Source organism: Homo sapiens, chromosome 10, assembly GCF_000001405.40.
Source record: "Homo sapiens chromosome 10, GRCh38.p14 Primary Assembly".
NCBI lineage: Eukaryota > Metazoa > Chordata > Mammalia > Primates > Hominidae > Homo > Homo sapiens.
Window position 1 is genome coordinate 113086413 of NC_000010.11, and position 16313 is coordinate 113102725.

The 16313-nt window shown below is 45.9% G+C and overlaps 1 protein-coding gene across 15 annotated transcripts in view, besides 2 other annotated features; it reads left to right on the plus strand.

The window, feature by feature from the left end:
* Positions 1 to 16313, plus strand: part of TCF7L2 (transcription factor 7 like 2) — a 217432-nt gene that overhangs the window by 136166 nt on the left and 64953 nt on the right. The window contains exon 5 of one of the 15 annotated variants that reach the window (NM_001146283.2): positions 2988 to 3128. The exons of the other annotated variants lie outside the window; for them this stretch is intronic. Coding sequence (NP_001139755.1) covers positions 2988 to 3128 — 141 coding nt within the window. The remainder of the gene's footprint in view (positions 1 to 2987; positions 3129 to 16313) is intronic. 15 annotated transcript variants of the gene reach the window in all.
* Positions 275 to 827: an enhancer, noted in NCBI's record as "H3K27ac hESC enhancer chr10:114846446-114846998 (GRCh37/hg19 assembly coordinates)". NCBI's record gives its function as "activates a minimal SCP1, AML or CMV promoter by ChIP-STARR-seq in naive H9 embryonic stem cells {active_cell/tissue: H9 hESC(naive)}" and the evidence as "EXISTENCE:reporter gene assay evidence [ECO:0000049][PMID:30033119]".
* Positions 14303 to 14469: a silencer, noted in NCBI's record as "fragment chr10:114860474-114860640 (GRCh37/hg19 assembly coordinates)". NCBI's record gives its function as "represses an EF-1alpha promoter that drives an FKBP-Casp9 reporter gene in an ReSE screen in HepG2 liver carcinoma cells {active_cell/tissue: HepG2}" and the evidence as "EXISTENCE:reporter gene assay evidence [ECO:0000049][PMID:32094911]".

A 16313-nucleotide genomic window follows, 5' to 3' on the forward strand; every position in this document is an offset into this window, starting at 1 on the left:
CCAGTTGGTTTTACTGCACAGAGGCTTATTCAAGTCCAGAGAGATCTTATCTTTCCCTACAAGTCTGTGACCTTGATTCTGAACCTGCATCTATGGGAAGGGCTTGCAGTGTCTGAGTGAGCTTGGACTGTGTAAACTTTCCCACTTCTGAAGCTGGGGGTGGGGTTCACTCCACTAAGCTACATGGCTCTAGAGTCAGGGGGTTGCCCCCTAAGTAACTGGCAGTATTGTTACCAGAAAAATCATGAATGGACACTGAGCAGAAAACTCAGCAGATGTTTATTTCCTGGTCTTTAGGATTTGTTGAAGAGTTTTTTATTTGTTTGTTTTTTAAGAAAGACTCAAAAGGAAAAAAAAAAAAAAACTATAGTTATTTTCTCATGATATAAAAAGATTCTGTAGTTGTATATACATTTGAACTTTTTGTAAGACATCTCCTACCCCCCTAAAATTGGAAGTCATTTATTAAGACTTTGTATTCTGTAAGAGGATTGGAAATGAATAATTAAGAACATTAAAGAGGAAAGCAGGGGGTGGTGGGAAAGTGTGGTCTTGAGGGGGTAATAAACCTCCTACAGGCCACACACACACAAGAAAAAAAAAAGGGCAATAAGTGTAGCCCAGTAACATAAGGTGGGGAATAAGGTTAGGGGTAAGGTTAATTCTACAAGTTCAAAGCCAGTAGCCCCTGATGCGCTGTTGGACGTGAACTATAAATTTGGCTCTGAGGTTCCCAGGCATGGAAGAATATCTAGATCTGTACAGAGAGGTTGTGTGTGTGTTTAACATTTCCATAATGTACAATTTCCTCTAAGAGTAAAGGCCATGAGGAAATGCCCGTGGAAGATAAAGGAGACCATGTGGTCTGTGGCAACCATGGATACATTTCTTTCCCAACGCATTCTCTGAGGCACTTTGGTAACTCTGCCTCTTTGCTCTCAGCATTGTGTTAGAAAATAAAGCCAGCAGACAAGGATTAAACCCTCATGTTGCTGGGTTCCTTCTAGAAACAATTGGAGGGCTAACCAAGTCACCTTTGGTGGAAGGCAGTAAGGTGAGTCATTGCTGTGGCTGGACTGAATAGGATAGCCTTAGCTGTAAAATTGGGCTGATCTTTCAAATGGACTCATGCTTGCCGAATGACTCACGCTCCTGTTTACAAATCAGCTCTGTGAAGAAATGCAGAGTGGGAGGCTCTGCTTGCCAGACGGAGACCTTAGACCTCCAGGGGTGGAGAACGGAGTACTTCCTCTGGTGCTCGGCTTCCCTTCCTGGGGGCAGATCTCTCAGCTTCTGGTTGGTGGCTCTCAAAATCCAGACACAAGGTCAGCTGCAGCCAGCGTGGGCCCTGGAGTAGCTCCAGTTATGGGGCAGCAATGGCCCCCTCTCATTTTGAGAGCTCACTTTGCCTGTGGATGGTTTTAATCCATCTGGATAAACTTGAGGCCCATGGGAATACCATATACTATGGTAACCATGTACACTGCTCTAAAGATGTGGCTGCTGTTGTATAACTTTTTCCTTTATTTTTGTCAATTTCCTATTTTCCAGAGTCTTGCATACCCACTATGTCTACTGTGATAGTGAACGTAAAAACATACAAGATGTTGGTGTTATCCTCAATCTCTTATTCTTAATCCTGAACAAATTACATGAAAAAATCGTTCATGGAGTTTTTCTTCATATAAAACTTTTTACAATGAACATAAAGGGCATAGCTATTTCTTTTTTTTTAAAAAGAAACGTAGAATATTATTTCTTGGTTGTGAAATCGCCCTTCTTGGACCCCAAGTTGTTTTTTACAGCCCTAAATTCTCTTGTTTATAGAGCCTGTTTATAGAGCCATAGACAGGCCAATGGGTCTCTACAGCAGGCACCTGCATGAGTTGACTGGGACCTGAGCTATATTCCCCCTCTGCCATTTACTAGCAGTGTGACCTTGGGCATGCTCCTTACAGTCTCTGAGTCAGTTTCCTCCTCTGTGAAATGGGCATGATACTACCTACCTCATAAGGTAGGGGTGAGGATTAATGGAGTAAGAGGCACACTCCTGTCCAGGGCCCCAGACAGAGTAGGCCGTCAGTAAACTGTAGCAGCTATTGTGATAGGGTTTGAAATTCAAATTAACGCATATTTCTTGAGCACCCAAGGTGTGTGCTGCTGGATCTTTCAAGGGGTCCAGAATTGGTAGTATAGTTGCTTTTCTCAAAAGACTGTCGCCTGGCAGAGGAAAAGGTGTTAAGGTATGAGTGAAGACAGATCAGCCAGACATGGTGCCGCTTGCCTGAGATCTCAACACTTTGGGAGGCCGAGATAGGAGGATTGCCTGAGCCCAGGAGTTCAAGACCAGCCTGAGCAACATAGCAAGATTCTGCCTCCACAAAAAAATAAAATAAAAATAAAAAGATTAGCTGAGTGTGGTGGCGTGCACCTGTAGTCCTAACTGTTTGGGAGGCTGAGACAGGAGGATTGCTTGAGCCCAGGAGTTTAAGTCCAGTCCGGGCAACATAGCAAGACCCCATCTCTTAGAAAAAAAAAAAAAAGATCAGCTCCCCAAACAGCTGAAGTATTAAGTGGAACCATATGTAATTGTATTTTTGTAGGACAGAAATATCAGCAATTTCACATAACTAATAGATTCAGTAAGGTAAGTTGAGAGAGAAAATGCTAGCTAACTGGTTCTTGAGAGGCTCAGAGGAAGGGGAGGCCATGCCCATTAGGAGAATGGTGGGTAGGGGTGGGAATACACAACAGGAAGGCTGCCTGGAGGAGGTTGCATTTCAGATGTTCCTAGAAGGGACCCTGAGCTGGATGGCAGGGAAATAGGAGAGTTCTGATTTGTGCTGGGAACTGTAATCCCTCTATCATGGAGCTTCTATAGAAATGTGGGTTAGGGCAGAAAGGAAGGCTGGGGGCTGTGTGTGCCTTGGTGACGTGTCCCCCTCGCTCCCGAGCCTTACTCTGTTCCCCTTTCTTCCTGGCAGCAGAGCCCCCTCCCTTGCTGCACTCAGGGACATGACTGTCAGCACTTCTACCCCCCCTCAGACTTCACTGTCAGCACTCAAGTCTTCAGGGACATGAAAAGGAGCCACTCCTTACAAAAAGTTGGGGAGCCCTGGTGTATTGAGGTAGGTCTCGGAGCAGAATCACGGTATGAGATGAGCTAGCTCTAAAATGAAGCCGCCCACCCAAAGTTTACCTCTCTCTAGGGCAGGGCCCATCCACTGCGATCCCTGAATTCTTGTTGGGTCACTGTCATTTTGGGTGCCATGATGTCTGGGTGTGCTGACCGCTGATAGGGATATCATAGCCATAAAAACGCCTGTTTACAAGGAGAGGGTGGAGGGTGGTGCTCGCATGACTCCAGGATGCCTGGCTCCCAGTGAAGGCCCTCGTGATCCAGTGCCACACGTAACTTCTGTGAAAATGAGGAGCACAACATTATCCCATTAAACTTGGCCCCAGGAAGTGTCTCTTGGGACTCTTCACAGTTCACAATGGAGGAGAAGTTACCACCTCAACTTTGCCTTCGTTACTAGTAATTTAGAACTTAAAGATTTTCTTTTAAAATTCAGGGTGCTGGAAAATGCCCACTTTGCCTCGACAATACCTACCTGAGGCAGCCGTGAATGGCTTTACTCGCAGATGTTGCTCTCCAAGGACAGGAAGCATTGTTAATTTCCTTTAAATAATTCAATACAGTGTCAATACCCCACACTGCTCAGTGCTTGGGAGTAACAGTTCTCTTCAAATTAATAGTCCTGAAGAAAAAATAACACCTAGAACATGCTTTTATCTTCAGAAAAGCAAAAGTCAATGCAGATGAAAAATTTTCAAGGAACTCTTAGGTTTAAACAGCAAATGATTTAGTACTAGTGTTAGCTTTTAAAAAAAGAAAAGTGAATATTTATGAACCAAATAATAAAGCCTCTGTCTTTAAAAACATTTATTGTATACCTATTGGGTGCTGTGCTATGTGTTACAGCCACAGGGACAGAAAGCAGTGCCTCCAGCAGGCAGAGACCTGGAGTAATACATATGTACATAAGTCTTGCTGTTGGAGAGACAAAATGTGGAATAAGTCATCTTTAAAAGTTTGTTCTGGCGTAGGAAGTGATGAATAGCCACATAAGACAACTAGAAACTGTAAAAATACATAAAGAAAATGTAAATACCTATACTCTTATTACCTATTGATAATCTCTCTCTCTTTTTTGAGATAGAGTCTCGCTCTGTTGCCCAGGCCAGAGTGCAGTGGCGCAATCTCAGCTCACTGCAACTTCTGCCTCCGGTTTCAAGCGATTCGCCTGCCTCAGCCTCCCGAGTAGCTGGACTACAGGTGCGCGCCACCAAGCCCAGCTAATTTTTTGTATTTTTAGTAAAGACAGGGTTTCACCCTGTTAGCCAGGATGGTCTCGATCTCCTGACCTCGTGATCCGCCCGCCTCGGCCTCCCAAACTGCTGGGATTACAGGCATGAACAACCATGCCTGGTCTTTTTTATTTTTTATTTTGAGACGGAGTCTTGCTCTGTCTTCCAGGCTGGAGTGTGTGATCTTGGCTCACTGTGACCTCCGCCTGCCAGCTTCAAGAAATTCTCCTGCCTCAGCCTCCCGAGTAGCTGGGATTACAGGCACCTGTTACCATACCCGGCTAATTTTTGTATTTTTAATAGAGACAGGGTTTTGCCATGTTGGTCAGACTGTTCTTGAACTCCTGACCTCAGGTGATCTGCATGACTTGGCCTCCCAAAGTGCTAGGATTACAGGCGTGAGCCACCGTGTCTGGCCGATAATCTCTTAATATTTGGATACATTTCCACATTTCTAGTCATTCATATGCACAGACCTTAAAAGCGTTTCGCAAAATTGGTATTATACCTCATACGGTTTTGCAATTTCTTTCTACTTTTAATTCTAGGAACACTTTTTGACACTATAACATGTGCCTAATTCTCTTTAGTAACTTCATGTACTAAAGTGGAAATCCTCTGGTCCACCTATTCCCTGTTAGCCAGATGTGCATAAAACTGAAGATGTGGCTGGGTGCAGTGGCTCACGCCTGTAATCCCAGCACTTTGGAAGGCTGAGGCGGGCAGATCACGATATCAGGAGTTCAAGACCAGTGAAACCCCGTCTCTACTAAAAATACAAAAATTAGCCAGGCGTGGTGGCGCGTGCCCGTACTCCCAGCTACTCAGGAGGCTGAGGCAGGAGAATCGCTTGAACTCAGAAGGAAGACAGAGGTTTCAGTGAGCTGAGATCACACCACTGCACTCCAGCCTGGGCAACAGAGTGAGACTCCATCTCAAAATGTTTCTGGAGTCTTTCGGACTTTTCGCTGTCTTGCATGCTTGCCTCTGATCTTGCATGTTCTTGGGCCACGCCTATGTCTTGATTACCTGGAGCTGCTGTCTGTGTGTTTAAGGAGCATTCCCTTTAACTGGCCTGGGTCTGATAGAGCAGGGAGGCCCCCTTTTCTCTGCATTAGCCATGGCCTGGTAGAAGATCTTTTTCAGTAGCCTCTCACTGGTTCAGCTTTTAATAAGCATAGCTGTTCATTCTGGCTATTTATGATAAGATGATATGAATATAGCTATTCTCCCATCAGAGCCTGGCACATGGTAACTCATTAATCTTTGGTTGGCGGCAGGAGGTAGATAAAGGAACCAGGCACCCATTTTAAGTATGAGGAAAATGAAACAGAAAGACTGGGTTTCTTCCTTATAACTCAAGGTCTACAGGAGCTGATTAGATCCCTGGCGCCAGTGACTGAGCATTTCTCAGCCTTGTCCTCAGAACCCAGAAGCATCTCCCAGGGACGTGCCAAAATGCCACGTTTCCAGGATGTCATCTAAATCTGTAAACTGTGAATAGGTGAGGTACAAAGATGCCACTTATGGGCTGTGCCAACTTGGGCAAGTTACCCGACTGATCTGTGCTTCAATTTCTCCATCAGTGATAAAGGTTCACATACAGGCTGTATGTAAAGCGGGAGCTTGATGAGAGAGCTGGTGGGCTCAGACTGGTGCAGGCAATTGGCAAGATTCTTGAGGAATCACAACCTGATGGTGTGTCTGTGTGATGGGCCAGTCGCTGCTGGAGTAGCTCAGTTATGTGTTCCATGTAGGTTTCCATGGAAATTCACATGTAACATTCCTAGTACCTACTTCAAGAATTTTGGTGGTGGCTGGGTGTGGTGGGTCATGCCTGTAATCCCAGCACTTCAGAAGGCCGAGGTGGGCAGATCACGAAGTCAGGAGTTCGACATGGTGAAACCCCGTCTCTACTAAAAATACAAAAATTAACCAGGCGTGGTGGCACATGCCTGTAATCCCAGCTACTTGGGAGGCTGAGGCAGGAGAATTGCTTGAATCTGGGGGACGGAGGTTGCAGTGAGCCAAGATAGCACCACTGCTGTCCAGCCTGGGCAACAGAGCCAAGACTCCCTCGGCTGGGGGGGTTGGTGGGGGCAGGGTAAGAATTTTGGTGATCTCTGAAAATCCGGATCCCACAGCATGGGTGTGATAGAAATGGCTCTGCAGAGTGTGATGGGAACCTCTTGTGACTGGTCGTCAGAACTAAGTTTGAGTCCAACACTCACTTTTTTGGCAAGGTGCTTCCCCGCTCCGTGATGCAATTCTTGCATCTGCAAAACAGGCGGTGGTCATGGGATATTCCCGCAGTCTGCTCCACTGGGTACCTACAGAGATCCCTTGACATTTAACACAGGCTTCCTGTGATCCAGGAACTACTGTACGAACTACTGTAACTACCTCCTATATTAACTTTTCCAAACCTTGATAGCAACCTTATGAGGGAGGTGGTGTGATTATTCCCATTTTGCAATTAAGGTAACTGAGCCAGAGAGAGAGAAAGCAATATCCATAAGATCACACAGCTGAAGGGTGAGAGCTATAAAAATTGCTGGGAATGAAGGGCCATGGTTCTTGGCCATGGTTCTTGGCCATGGTTCAGAGCTGTGATACCAACCATCTTCCACTTGTTCAGGGAGAAGGTGTTTGATCCTTTTCTTCACTCAGCTGCCTTAGGAGTTGGGAGGAAATTTTGTTTCAGGATACCTAAGTTCTTACAAGTCTCAACAATTGTACTTTCTGTTCCATCTACATTTCAAATTCATTGTCCCTTCTCTTTCTTTCCATGTAATTCAGCCAGATTCGAACCCTTTAGATCCCTTCCTCTAGGGAATTAAGGTTGGTAGACCAGCTGAGTAAATGTGACTCAGAAAGTCAATATCCACCTGGGCAGGGATGAGTCATTTCTTTCTAGTTAGCTATTCATGTACATTTTAAAGCTCGCCACACAAAGTCATTACATTGAGGCTATTAACATGTTTAATAGTGACAATAATAGGGTGTGACCCATGGCATATAACCGCATTCAGATAAGAAGAAAGAGTTTTCTTTTTTCTTCTTCCTGTAATTGCTCAGTCAATACCATTTTCACGGAAATACTTGCAAACAAACTTTTAAAAAGTTCATTGTCCAAAGCCTTCCCTGATTCCTTGTTTCCTTCCTCTTCAGGGGTTCTATAAACTTTTCCTGATCAGTGGCCGGGGATTAGCGAGATGGTGCACTCTGTCCTGATTTTGTGGTTGACCTACCCTTTTGCTGGTGTTGAGCCTGTTTTTATTGCATTTTTTGGGGTGTGTGTGCGCGTGCACGCGCATGTGTGTTTTTTCAGGAGGGGGCACATTATTGCTGCTACTTGCTTATTAACCTCTCAATCTAGAAATTTCAGGGAAGAAGAGACTTCCGCTAAATTTGCCAAGCTAGACACATAAACAGGGAGTTAGCCATTTTGGTGAGAGGAAATGAAACTTTTCTTGGGTTTATTAGACCACATCCTATGTGGCTTATTTTATGTCTGATTTCTAAAAAGCATGTCATCACGGTCAAAGTTTTATTTTTGCTTGTTAGTCATTTGAAACAAATATAGATATTGCTTCATTTCCTGGGTACTGTATTTTTCAGTACGTGGTATGTATGGAAAATTTGGGTTTACACAATGAAGTGCACTAGAAGGGAAGTATTTGCTAATTTAGAACTCTCTACATTATAACTTTGGATTAGCAAGCATTCGGCTAACTAAACATTTTCATTTATCTCCTACCCCTGATTATATAAAGAAGCAGATGAGACAACCAAAGAAATACCCCTCCAAGACAAAGTGAATATTTTGAAATACTTCCTCTCAGTCTTTTAAAAAATGTGATTTAAAAATCGTAGGTGGGATCATACTATACATGCACTTGTTTTCTGTTTATTTTACATCTCTCTATACTAGAAACACTTTCCTATATATGCCACAAAAACTGTGAAAGTACTAATGATTATCCCTCCTGTCCCTTAATATGCTTAGCTATTGCCCCAATGAACTCAGACTGTTTCCAAAGTTCCGCTGTTGGCCGGGCACTGTGGCTCATGCCTGAAATCCCAACACTTTGAGAGGCTGAGGCAGGTGGATCACTTGAGGCCAGGAGTTTGAGACCAGCCTGGCCAACATGGCAAAACACTGTCTCTACTAAAAAATACAAAAATTAGCTGGGTACGTGGTCCCAGCTACTCGGGAGGCTGAGACAGGAGAATCGCTTGAACCTGGGAGGCAGAGATTGCAGTAAGCTGAGATTGCACCTTTGCATTCCAGCCTGGGTGACAGAGCAAGACTCCATCTCAAAAAATAAAAACAAAAAACAAAAAACCAAAAAACAAAGTTCCACTATAAATAGTGCAACTGCATCTCATGTGGCAGAGGGTGGAAGTTGCAAATAGTGAAGAGAGAGTGATTCTGGGACATTCCATAATGCCCCCTTGATGTATGTGACCCATCATTGCTTCGCATGTATAGCCCCGGATTGTTCTGTGTGAGTGGGCCGGCAAATTCAACTCCTCCTCACCCCCTCTCTACCCCAGTTCATGCTCACTGGGTAGGATGGGAGGTGGGACTGCCAGATTATTTTTATTTTTTCCTTTCCCACATTGTCTATCTGCCAATATTTTTTTGTTGAAGTCTTTTAGGCTAAATGAGCGGACAAATTTTCTCTGCTGATCAACCGCCGTGGTAGCATCAGTGGGCACTGCAGTGCCTCCCTGGGAATTTTTAATGCCTCAGTGAGGTCATATTCCCAGTGTAGAGGGAACATGACGTAGTCCCACTCTACTTATCAGATGCAGAGCTTGCTACCAGGAAAACAGACGCGGAGAAGCCGGGATCATTTCTGGCCCCATTTCCCTCATTGTTCACCATTCCTTGGACTGCAAAGAGATGTCATTGTAAACGCTATCCTTTTCATTTTGTATACTAAGCAGGAAGCCCAGGCACTCTCTGTGGAGGTCTTCCAAGGAGCTCATCCATGCAGAAGATAGGAGTGTTCCTGCACCCTGCATCCTAGCCTCAGTGAGCCCACTTGACACCCCCCAGGGTGCTGCAAGCTGTGCCCATGTCTCTCCACGTTAGTGGCTACCTCCCTTTTCCCCTTTCGTCGTGAGTCACGTATTTTCTTTGTGTCTCGTGTGACAAAGGTCACTCGTAGAGAAGATTTGGGCCTTTGGTGTGTGACATGTCATCCCCACAGTTGATTGTTTTGGCTCCTCCCCTTTTGTAATGCTGTGAGGTGACAGGTCAGTTTTTAATGGGCTAGTCTGCGTCAAGGGAGAGTATAAATTAGCCTTAAGACTTTGTATTCCATATAGGGTTTCCCATATGAGAATATGCAGTTAGCACTTAGGGAGAGGGGTAGACGCTGCAGGGGTGGTTTTGACTTATCTGCCTATCAGTCAGCGTCTCTGTTGACGTACCTGTTTCTCAGATAGCAATCCCTTTTATGACGTCAGCAAGGTAGATGTTTGGAATTTGGAAATGGAGAGGAACCATATTTCAGCCCAGACTCTGGAACTTAATTTACTCATTTTTATTAAGGGCAGTGATTATTAGGCAAGCAGCTAATAGCAGATCTGAGTTCTTATTCTTCCTTATAAGGCCTGTCCTATGGACCTTATTGGAAAGGTATTTATTGCATCAGCTGCTGCTGGTTTAGTCAGGAGCACCATCATCTTTCACCTTTTACTTCACACCCATCCAGTGTTCTCTGTCACGTCTCTGAAAGGCCATTTCAAACCGGTTTGCATTAAGAAAAATCAGTAGTTTCTTTTTTTTTTAGTTTGGTGGAAGCGCCATAGGAGGCCAGATTTGCTTTTCCTGGTCAATGTCTGGCCTCTTCTGTGGGGGCCAAAAATGAAAGAGGAGCAGCCACACCCTTTTAGATTCTGGCCATGTCACAGCACACTTACAGCCAGCTTCAGAGGCCAGTGCAGCAGGGAGAAAAGCTCTTGGCTGGGAAGATCTAAATTAGAGGCCTGTTTGTGCTCAGAGTGAAAGTTTCTGTTTTGGAAAAGCCAGCTCCCTCCAGAGGGGAGGGTGGGGATGGGAAAGCAACGAAGACACCAGAGAAAGAAGAAATAAGAGGGGGACGTGAGGAGGCATGTAGTGACTGACTGCAGGACATGGGACCCCCCTGCTCGGCTTCTGCTCCTACCCCACCGGTCACTGGGTCAGACAAGCTTAGCCTGAGCCCCGCGTCACCATCCCTGTCCTAGTGGTAGCCTCTTGCTGTTTAGAAAAACAGAGTTGGGGGAGATGACAGTAGCTTGCCTGTGATCTACACACAGGGCAGGTTGGGAGGGGTCCTGCACACTCTGTCACGTAGTGCTCATCCCAGCTCCTGCCTGCTAGGTTTGTGGCAATATTTGTGGTAAGCCTTGTGGTTCGCCAGGGGCCAGGGTGACAGATGAGAAGTCCACTTGTTCCTGAGAAATGAGCTCCACTAGAAAGTAGGAGCAGCTTGTAACCAACCAGGGGGAAGTCCTGTGTGTAGGTTGTCACAACTCTCTCTCAGGACAAATTTCTTTCCTCTTGCCAGTTGTAGAAGAACCCATGAGGAGGCCGGGCACGGTGGCTCACGCCTATAATCCCAGCACTTTGGGAAGCCAAGGCGGGTGAATCACCTGAGGTCAGGAGTTCGAGACCAGCCTGGCCAACATGGTAAAACCCCATCTCTACTGAAAATACAAAAATTAGCCAGACATGGTGGCAGGCACCTGTAATCCCAGCTCCTCGGGAGGCCGAGGCAGAAGAATCACCTGAACCTGGGAGGTGGAAGTTGCAGTGAGCCAAGACTGCACCACTGCAGGGTGACAGAGTAAGACTCTTGTCTCGGAAAAAAAAAAAAAAAAAAAAAAAAAAAACAACCATGAGAAAGATATATGGAGGTGAGAGGGAAAGGTGTACCCTGGAGGGATTTCTTATGGCATCTTTTACTGGCTTCAGAAACACAGGTCATGGCCAGACGCAGTGGCTCACACCTGTAATCCTAGCACTTTGGGAGGCTGAGGCAGGCGGATCGCCTGAGGTCAGGAGTCAGAGACCAGCCTGGCCAACATGGTGAAACCCTGTCTTTGCTAAAAACAGAAAAATTAGCCAGGCGTGGTAGTGCGCTTGTAATTCCAGCTACTCGGGAGGCTGAGGCAGGAGAATCGCTTGAACCTGGGAGGTGGAGGTTGCAGTGAGCCAAGATAATGCCACTACACTCCAGCCTGGGTGACAGAGTGAGACTCTGTCTCAAAAAAAAAAAAAAAAAAAAAAAAGAAGAAGAAGAAGAAACACATGTCGTACCTGAAGGGAAGGTAGGTCCTTTCCCTGCCCTTCTTCCCCATTTCCTTGGTAGGGGCAGCAGTGTCTGGCACAGGCTCCTGACCCTTGTGATGTAATGATATGTTGGGGATGTTTGTTTCTTCTTGGACCTTTCCTGTTTGGGACAGCAAAATCTACAAGATCCAGGTCTCCGTTGGGGCTTTCCGCACTGGGATCTTCCTTGGTCAGGTCACTTGCAGCTGTTTTTCAAATCTACACTCAATGGCATGCAATTCTGTGCCCTGATTTAACGTATGAGGGTCAAGTGTGAGACGTGGGATTTTTATTTAAAAAATTGTATTTTAGGCCGGGCTCGGTGGCTCACGCCTGTAATCCCAGCACTTTGGGAGGCCGAGGCAGATGGATCACAAGGTCAGGAGTTCGAGACCATCCTGGCCAATGTGGTGAAACCCCCGTCTCTACTAAAAATACAAAAATTAGCCAGGCATGGTGGCGGGAGCCTGTAGTCCCAGCTACTCAGGAGGCTGAGGCAGGAGAATCGCTTGAACCTGGGAGGCAGTGGTTGCAGTGAGCTGAGATCGCGCCACTGCACTCCAGCCTGGGCAACAAAGTGAGACTCTGTCTCAAAACAAAACAAAAAACAAAAAAAATGTATTTTAAAATATATTATGATCATTGACTTTTTCTTTTGGTCTCCTGTTCTACGAATTGTAATATAAATTCGTATTATTGCCACCACGTAGGACACAGAACAGCTCCATCGCCCTGTACATGTCCTGTTGCTGCCTTTGTGTAGTCACTGGAGATGTGGGTTTTATTTTTATTATTTTCTCCATTTGATAGATAGTGCCGACTTGATTCACTTCATCCATTCCAGGGCCAATTTTTCACTGTTGATTGTCAGGGGCTCTGCTCTGCTGTTTCTCCAGCCCTCTCCAGTGAAAGAGATGTAACTGCAGTGCCATAGTTGTCAGCTTGTTAGTTATTGGCAAGTCTTGGTTGGATTTTCTATTCTTCATTGTGGGCTGTCCTTGCCTGTACACCTAGCATGCTCTGGAACCCTTTGTGGATTTATGAGAATTCAAGCTAATTCCAACAGTGGCCAAAGAAAAAAATAGCCAGGGAAATATGTTATTGCTAACCATATAGGCCTCAGAGTGAAAACGGCTTTTGGAGTATTCTGCTTTGAATTATTTATTTTAGTCTTTCTCAGATGTCAGGACAGATTTTTAAGATTTGGGCATAATGTTTAAAATGAAGATGGTATGTCTGTAGATTTTATTGACCCAACTTGGTCCCCCCAGGCTGTCCTCACCTGCCCCACGACTTAGATGAAACCAGGAATGGCAAGAGGAGAGCATCCAAGCCGCCTGCACCAGCCCTCAGTGCATCCCCACCCAGGCTCTGGAACAAGCTGCTACATGCACGGGAAGACCAGAGCTGCCGTCTTCCTGGCTGTTGTTCAGAGCTTATGCTTTCTTAGGGAAAAGTACAATGTAGGGCTATGTGTGTGGTGGGGATCTTCTGTGTGTGCTTGTCCTCCCCCTGGGAAATGATGAGAGGTGACCCCCGAGCTCCCAGCTCAGTGTCACACTCGAGTGAACAGTAGATGATGCTTCTGCCGTGCGTTTTGCTGGGGAAGGTAACAGCCATCGCACACATGTAAATTCTTGTGTAATCCAATTCCTGTCTTTGTAATTACTTGGAGACTTGCCATCGCAGCCAATTGAGAAGTGGGAGCAGTGACCCTGGGCAGAAAGCAGAAATTGGAGAGGAGGGGAGGGGCGGGGAGGTGGCATCCAGAACACAGTTGTAGCTCTCCTGGCTTTACAGCATCTAAAATCACTTCAGGATCAGGAAAAAGCAAAAACATTATAACTGCCCTCCACGCAAGTACCCCAGCTTTTCTGTCCCAAGTTCCCACTCCCTCTACCTCTCTCTTAGCAGGCTGGAGGAATTCTCAGCAAGCGTGATAGAGTCAGGTCATCCGTGACTTAGCTGAGAGGAAGGACTTTTACTGATAAGAAACTCCCATTGTCTGGCAACAGGTTTCTGTAGAGGAATGTCTTCCAGGTGGGAGAAGAATGGCTTTCATTTTTAACAACCACACACTATAAACAAAGCATCCCGAGAGCACGGGTACCTAGCAGAAGAAGAACGAAGTAGCCAGGAAACAAGTTGCTTTTCAGCATCCCCACTGAAATGATAGGGTACTTTAGAAAGCGGGTGGTGGCATTCTTTCCACAAGTACAGCAAGTGTCACTGTGGGGTCTTAATTCTCTCGAATCTGCCTTTAGAAGGCAGAAGGCAGAATGATCAGCTCTGCTCTGAATGTGTTTGCCATTTGATTGACGTCGGAAACATGATGTCACTTCTGCAAACACCCACGTGAGAAGGTGTATTTTTTTTTTTTCTTATTTGGGTGACAGATTGCATGTTAGGGCACTAAAAGATGAAAGCACTAAATACTTGCTTTAGAAAAACACAGTGGAAGATTCTCTCATCCTCCCCGCTGAAAATTTATGGGCTTAGAATTCCATGAACCAAAATGACTGTCTTCAGTTAAACTTATTGCGACCCTCTGGGCATGATTAACAAATCAGGTGGAAAGGGAAGGTGGAGGAGTATACGGGATTCTTTTTTCATGTTGTGTGGAATAGGGCACTTTAGTTGAAATTGAGGTTCAAGTTAGCAAAAAGAAATTCCATCCTTCGGCTGGGCGTGGTGGCTCACGCCTGTAATCCCAGCATTTTGGGAGGCTGACGCAGGTGGATCACCTGAGGTCGGGAGTTCGAGACCAGCCTGACCAACATGGAGAAACCTCATTTCCACTAAAAATATAAAATTAGGCAGGCGTGGTGGCGTTTGCCTGTAATCCCAGCTACTCGGGAGGCTGAGGCAGGAGAATTGCTTGAACCAGGGAGGAGGAGGTTGTGGTGAGCTGAGATCGCGCCATTGCACTCCAGGCTGAGTGACAAGAGCGAAACTCCGTCTCAAGGGGGGAAAAAATCCATCCTTCTTCAATGTGTATCTTATCCTTCTCAGTGTTTAATAGGACGTTCTACTCAATGGATTGGTTTCCTCCCTATAAAAAGGAGCATTTTGTTATTCCCTCTTTCAGATTTAATGATAAAGTCATAATTCCTGCAAGCCTTTTGAGGAGGATATATCTTATCTCATAAGATAGCTGGGCACAGTTGTTCAGGCCTATATTGTCAGGGCTTTGGGAGGCCTCAAGGATCGCTTGAAGGCAGGAGTTTGAGACCAGCTTGGGCAACATAGCAAGACCCCATCTCTACAAAAAATTAAAAAGTTATCCAGGCATGGTGGTGCATACCTGTAGTCCCAGCTACTTGGGAGGCCGAGGCAAGAGAATTTCTTGAGTCTAGGAGTTCGAGGCTGCAGTGAGCTCTAATTGAGCCACTGCACTCCAGCTTGGGTGGCAGAACGAAACCTTGCCTCTTAAAAAAAGAAGAGAGGGGCTGGGCGCGGTGGCTCACGCCTGTAATCCCAGCACTTTGGGAGGTTGAGGTGGGCGGATCACAAGGTCAGGAGATCGAGATCATCCTGGCTAACACAGTGAAACTCTGTCTCTACTAAAAAATACAAAAAATTAGCTGGGCATGGTGGCGGCCGCCTGTAGTCCCAGCTACTTGGGAGGCTGAGGCAGGAGAATGGCGTGAACCCAGGACGGGGAGCTTGCAGTGAGCCGAGATTGTGCCACTGCACTCCAGCCTGGGCGACAGAGCGAGACTCCGTCTCAAAAAAAAAAAAAAAGAGAGGTGTGGTGGCTCATGCCTATAATCCCAGCACTTTGGGAGGCCAAGGCGGGTGGATTGCCTGAGCTCAGGAGTTTGAGACCAGCCTGGGCAACATAGTGAAACCCCATCTCTACTAAAATACAAAAAATTAGCCGGGCGTGGTGGTGTACGCCTGTAGTCCCAGCTACTCGGGAGGCAGGAGGCGGAGGTTGCAGTGAGCCAAGATTGCACCACTGCACTCCAGCCTGGGTGACAGAGCGTGACTCCATCAAAAAAAAAAAAAAAAAAAAAAAAAAAAAAAGTGAGAAAGAATGTGGTTTTGGTACTCAGTGTCTAGGACGTCTGTTTAATGGGATGGTTAGGAGCGTGTGCTCTGTACTCTGAGCTCAAACCTTGGCTTTGCCTCTGACCAGCTGAATGACCATGTGCAACTCACTGTTTATGCCTAAGTTTTCACATCATAAAACCAGGACATTATTTTGCCTATCTTTACTTATTAGTAGATTTGAATGAATTACAGTATATAAGGCAAGTGACATACATGGAAACTGGCAAACATCTGTTTTTTGTTGTTGTTGTTTGTTTGTTTTTTTTTTTTTTTGAGACAGAGTCTCGCTCTGTCGCCGAGGCTGGAGTGCATTGGTGCAATCTCTGCTCACTGCAACCTCCACCTCCTGGGTTCAAGTGATTCTCCTGCCTCAGCCTCCCGAGTAGCTAGGATTACACGTGCCCACCATCATGCCCAGCTAATTTTTTGTATTTTTAGTAGAGATGGGGTTTCACCGTGTTGGCCAGGGTGGTCTTGAACTCCCGACCTCAGGTGATCTGTCTTCCTCGGCCCCTCTAAGTACTGGGATTACAGGCATGAGCACCTGGCCATATCT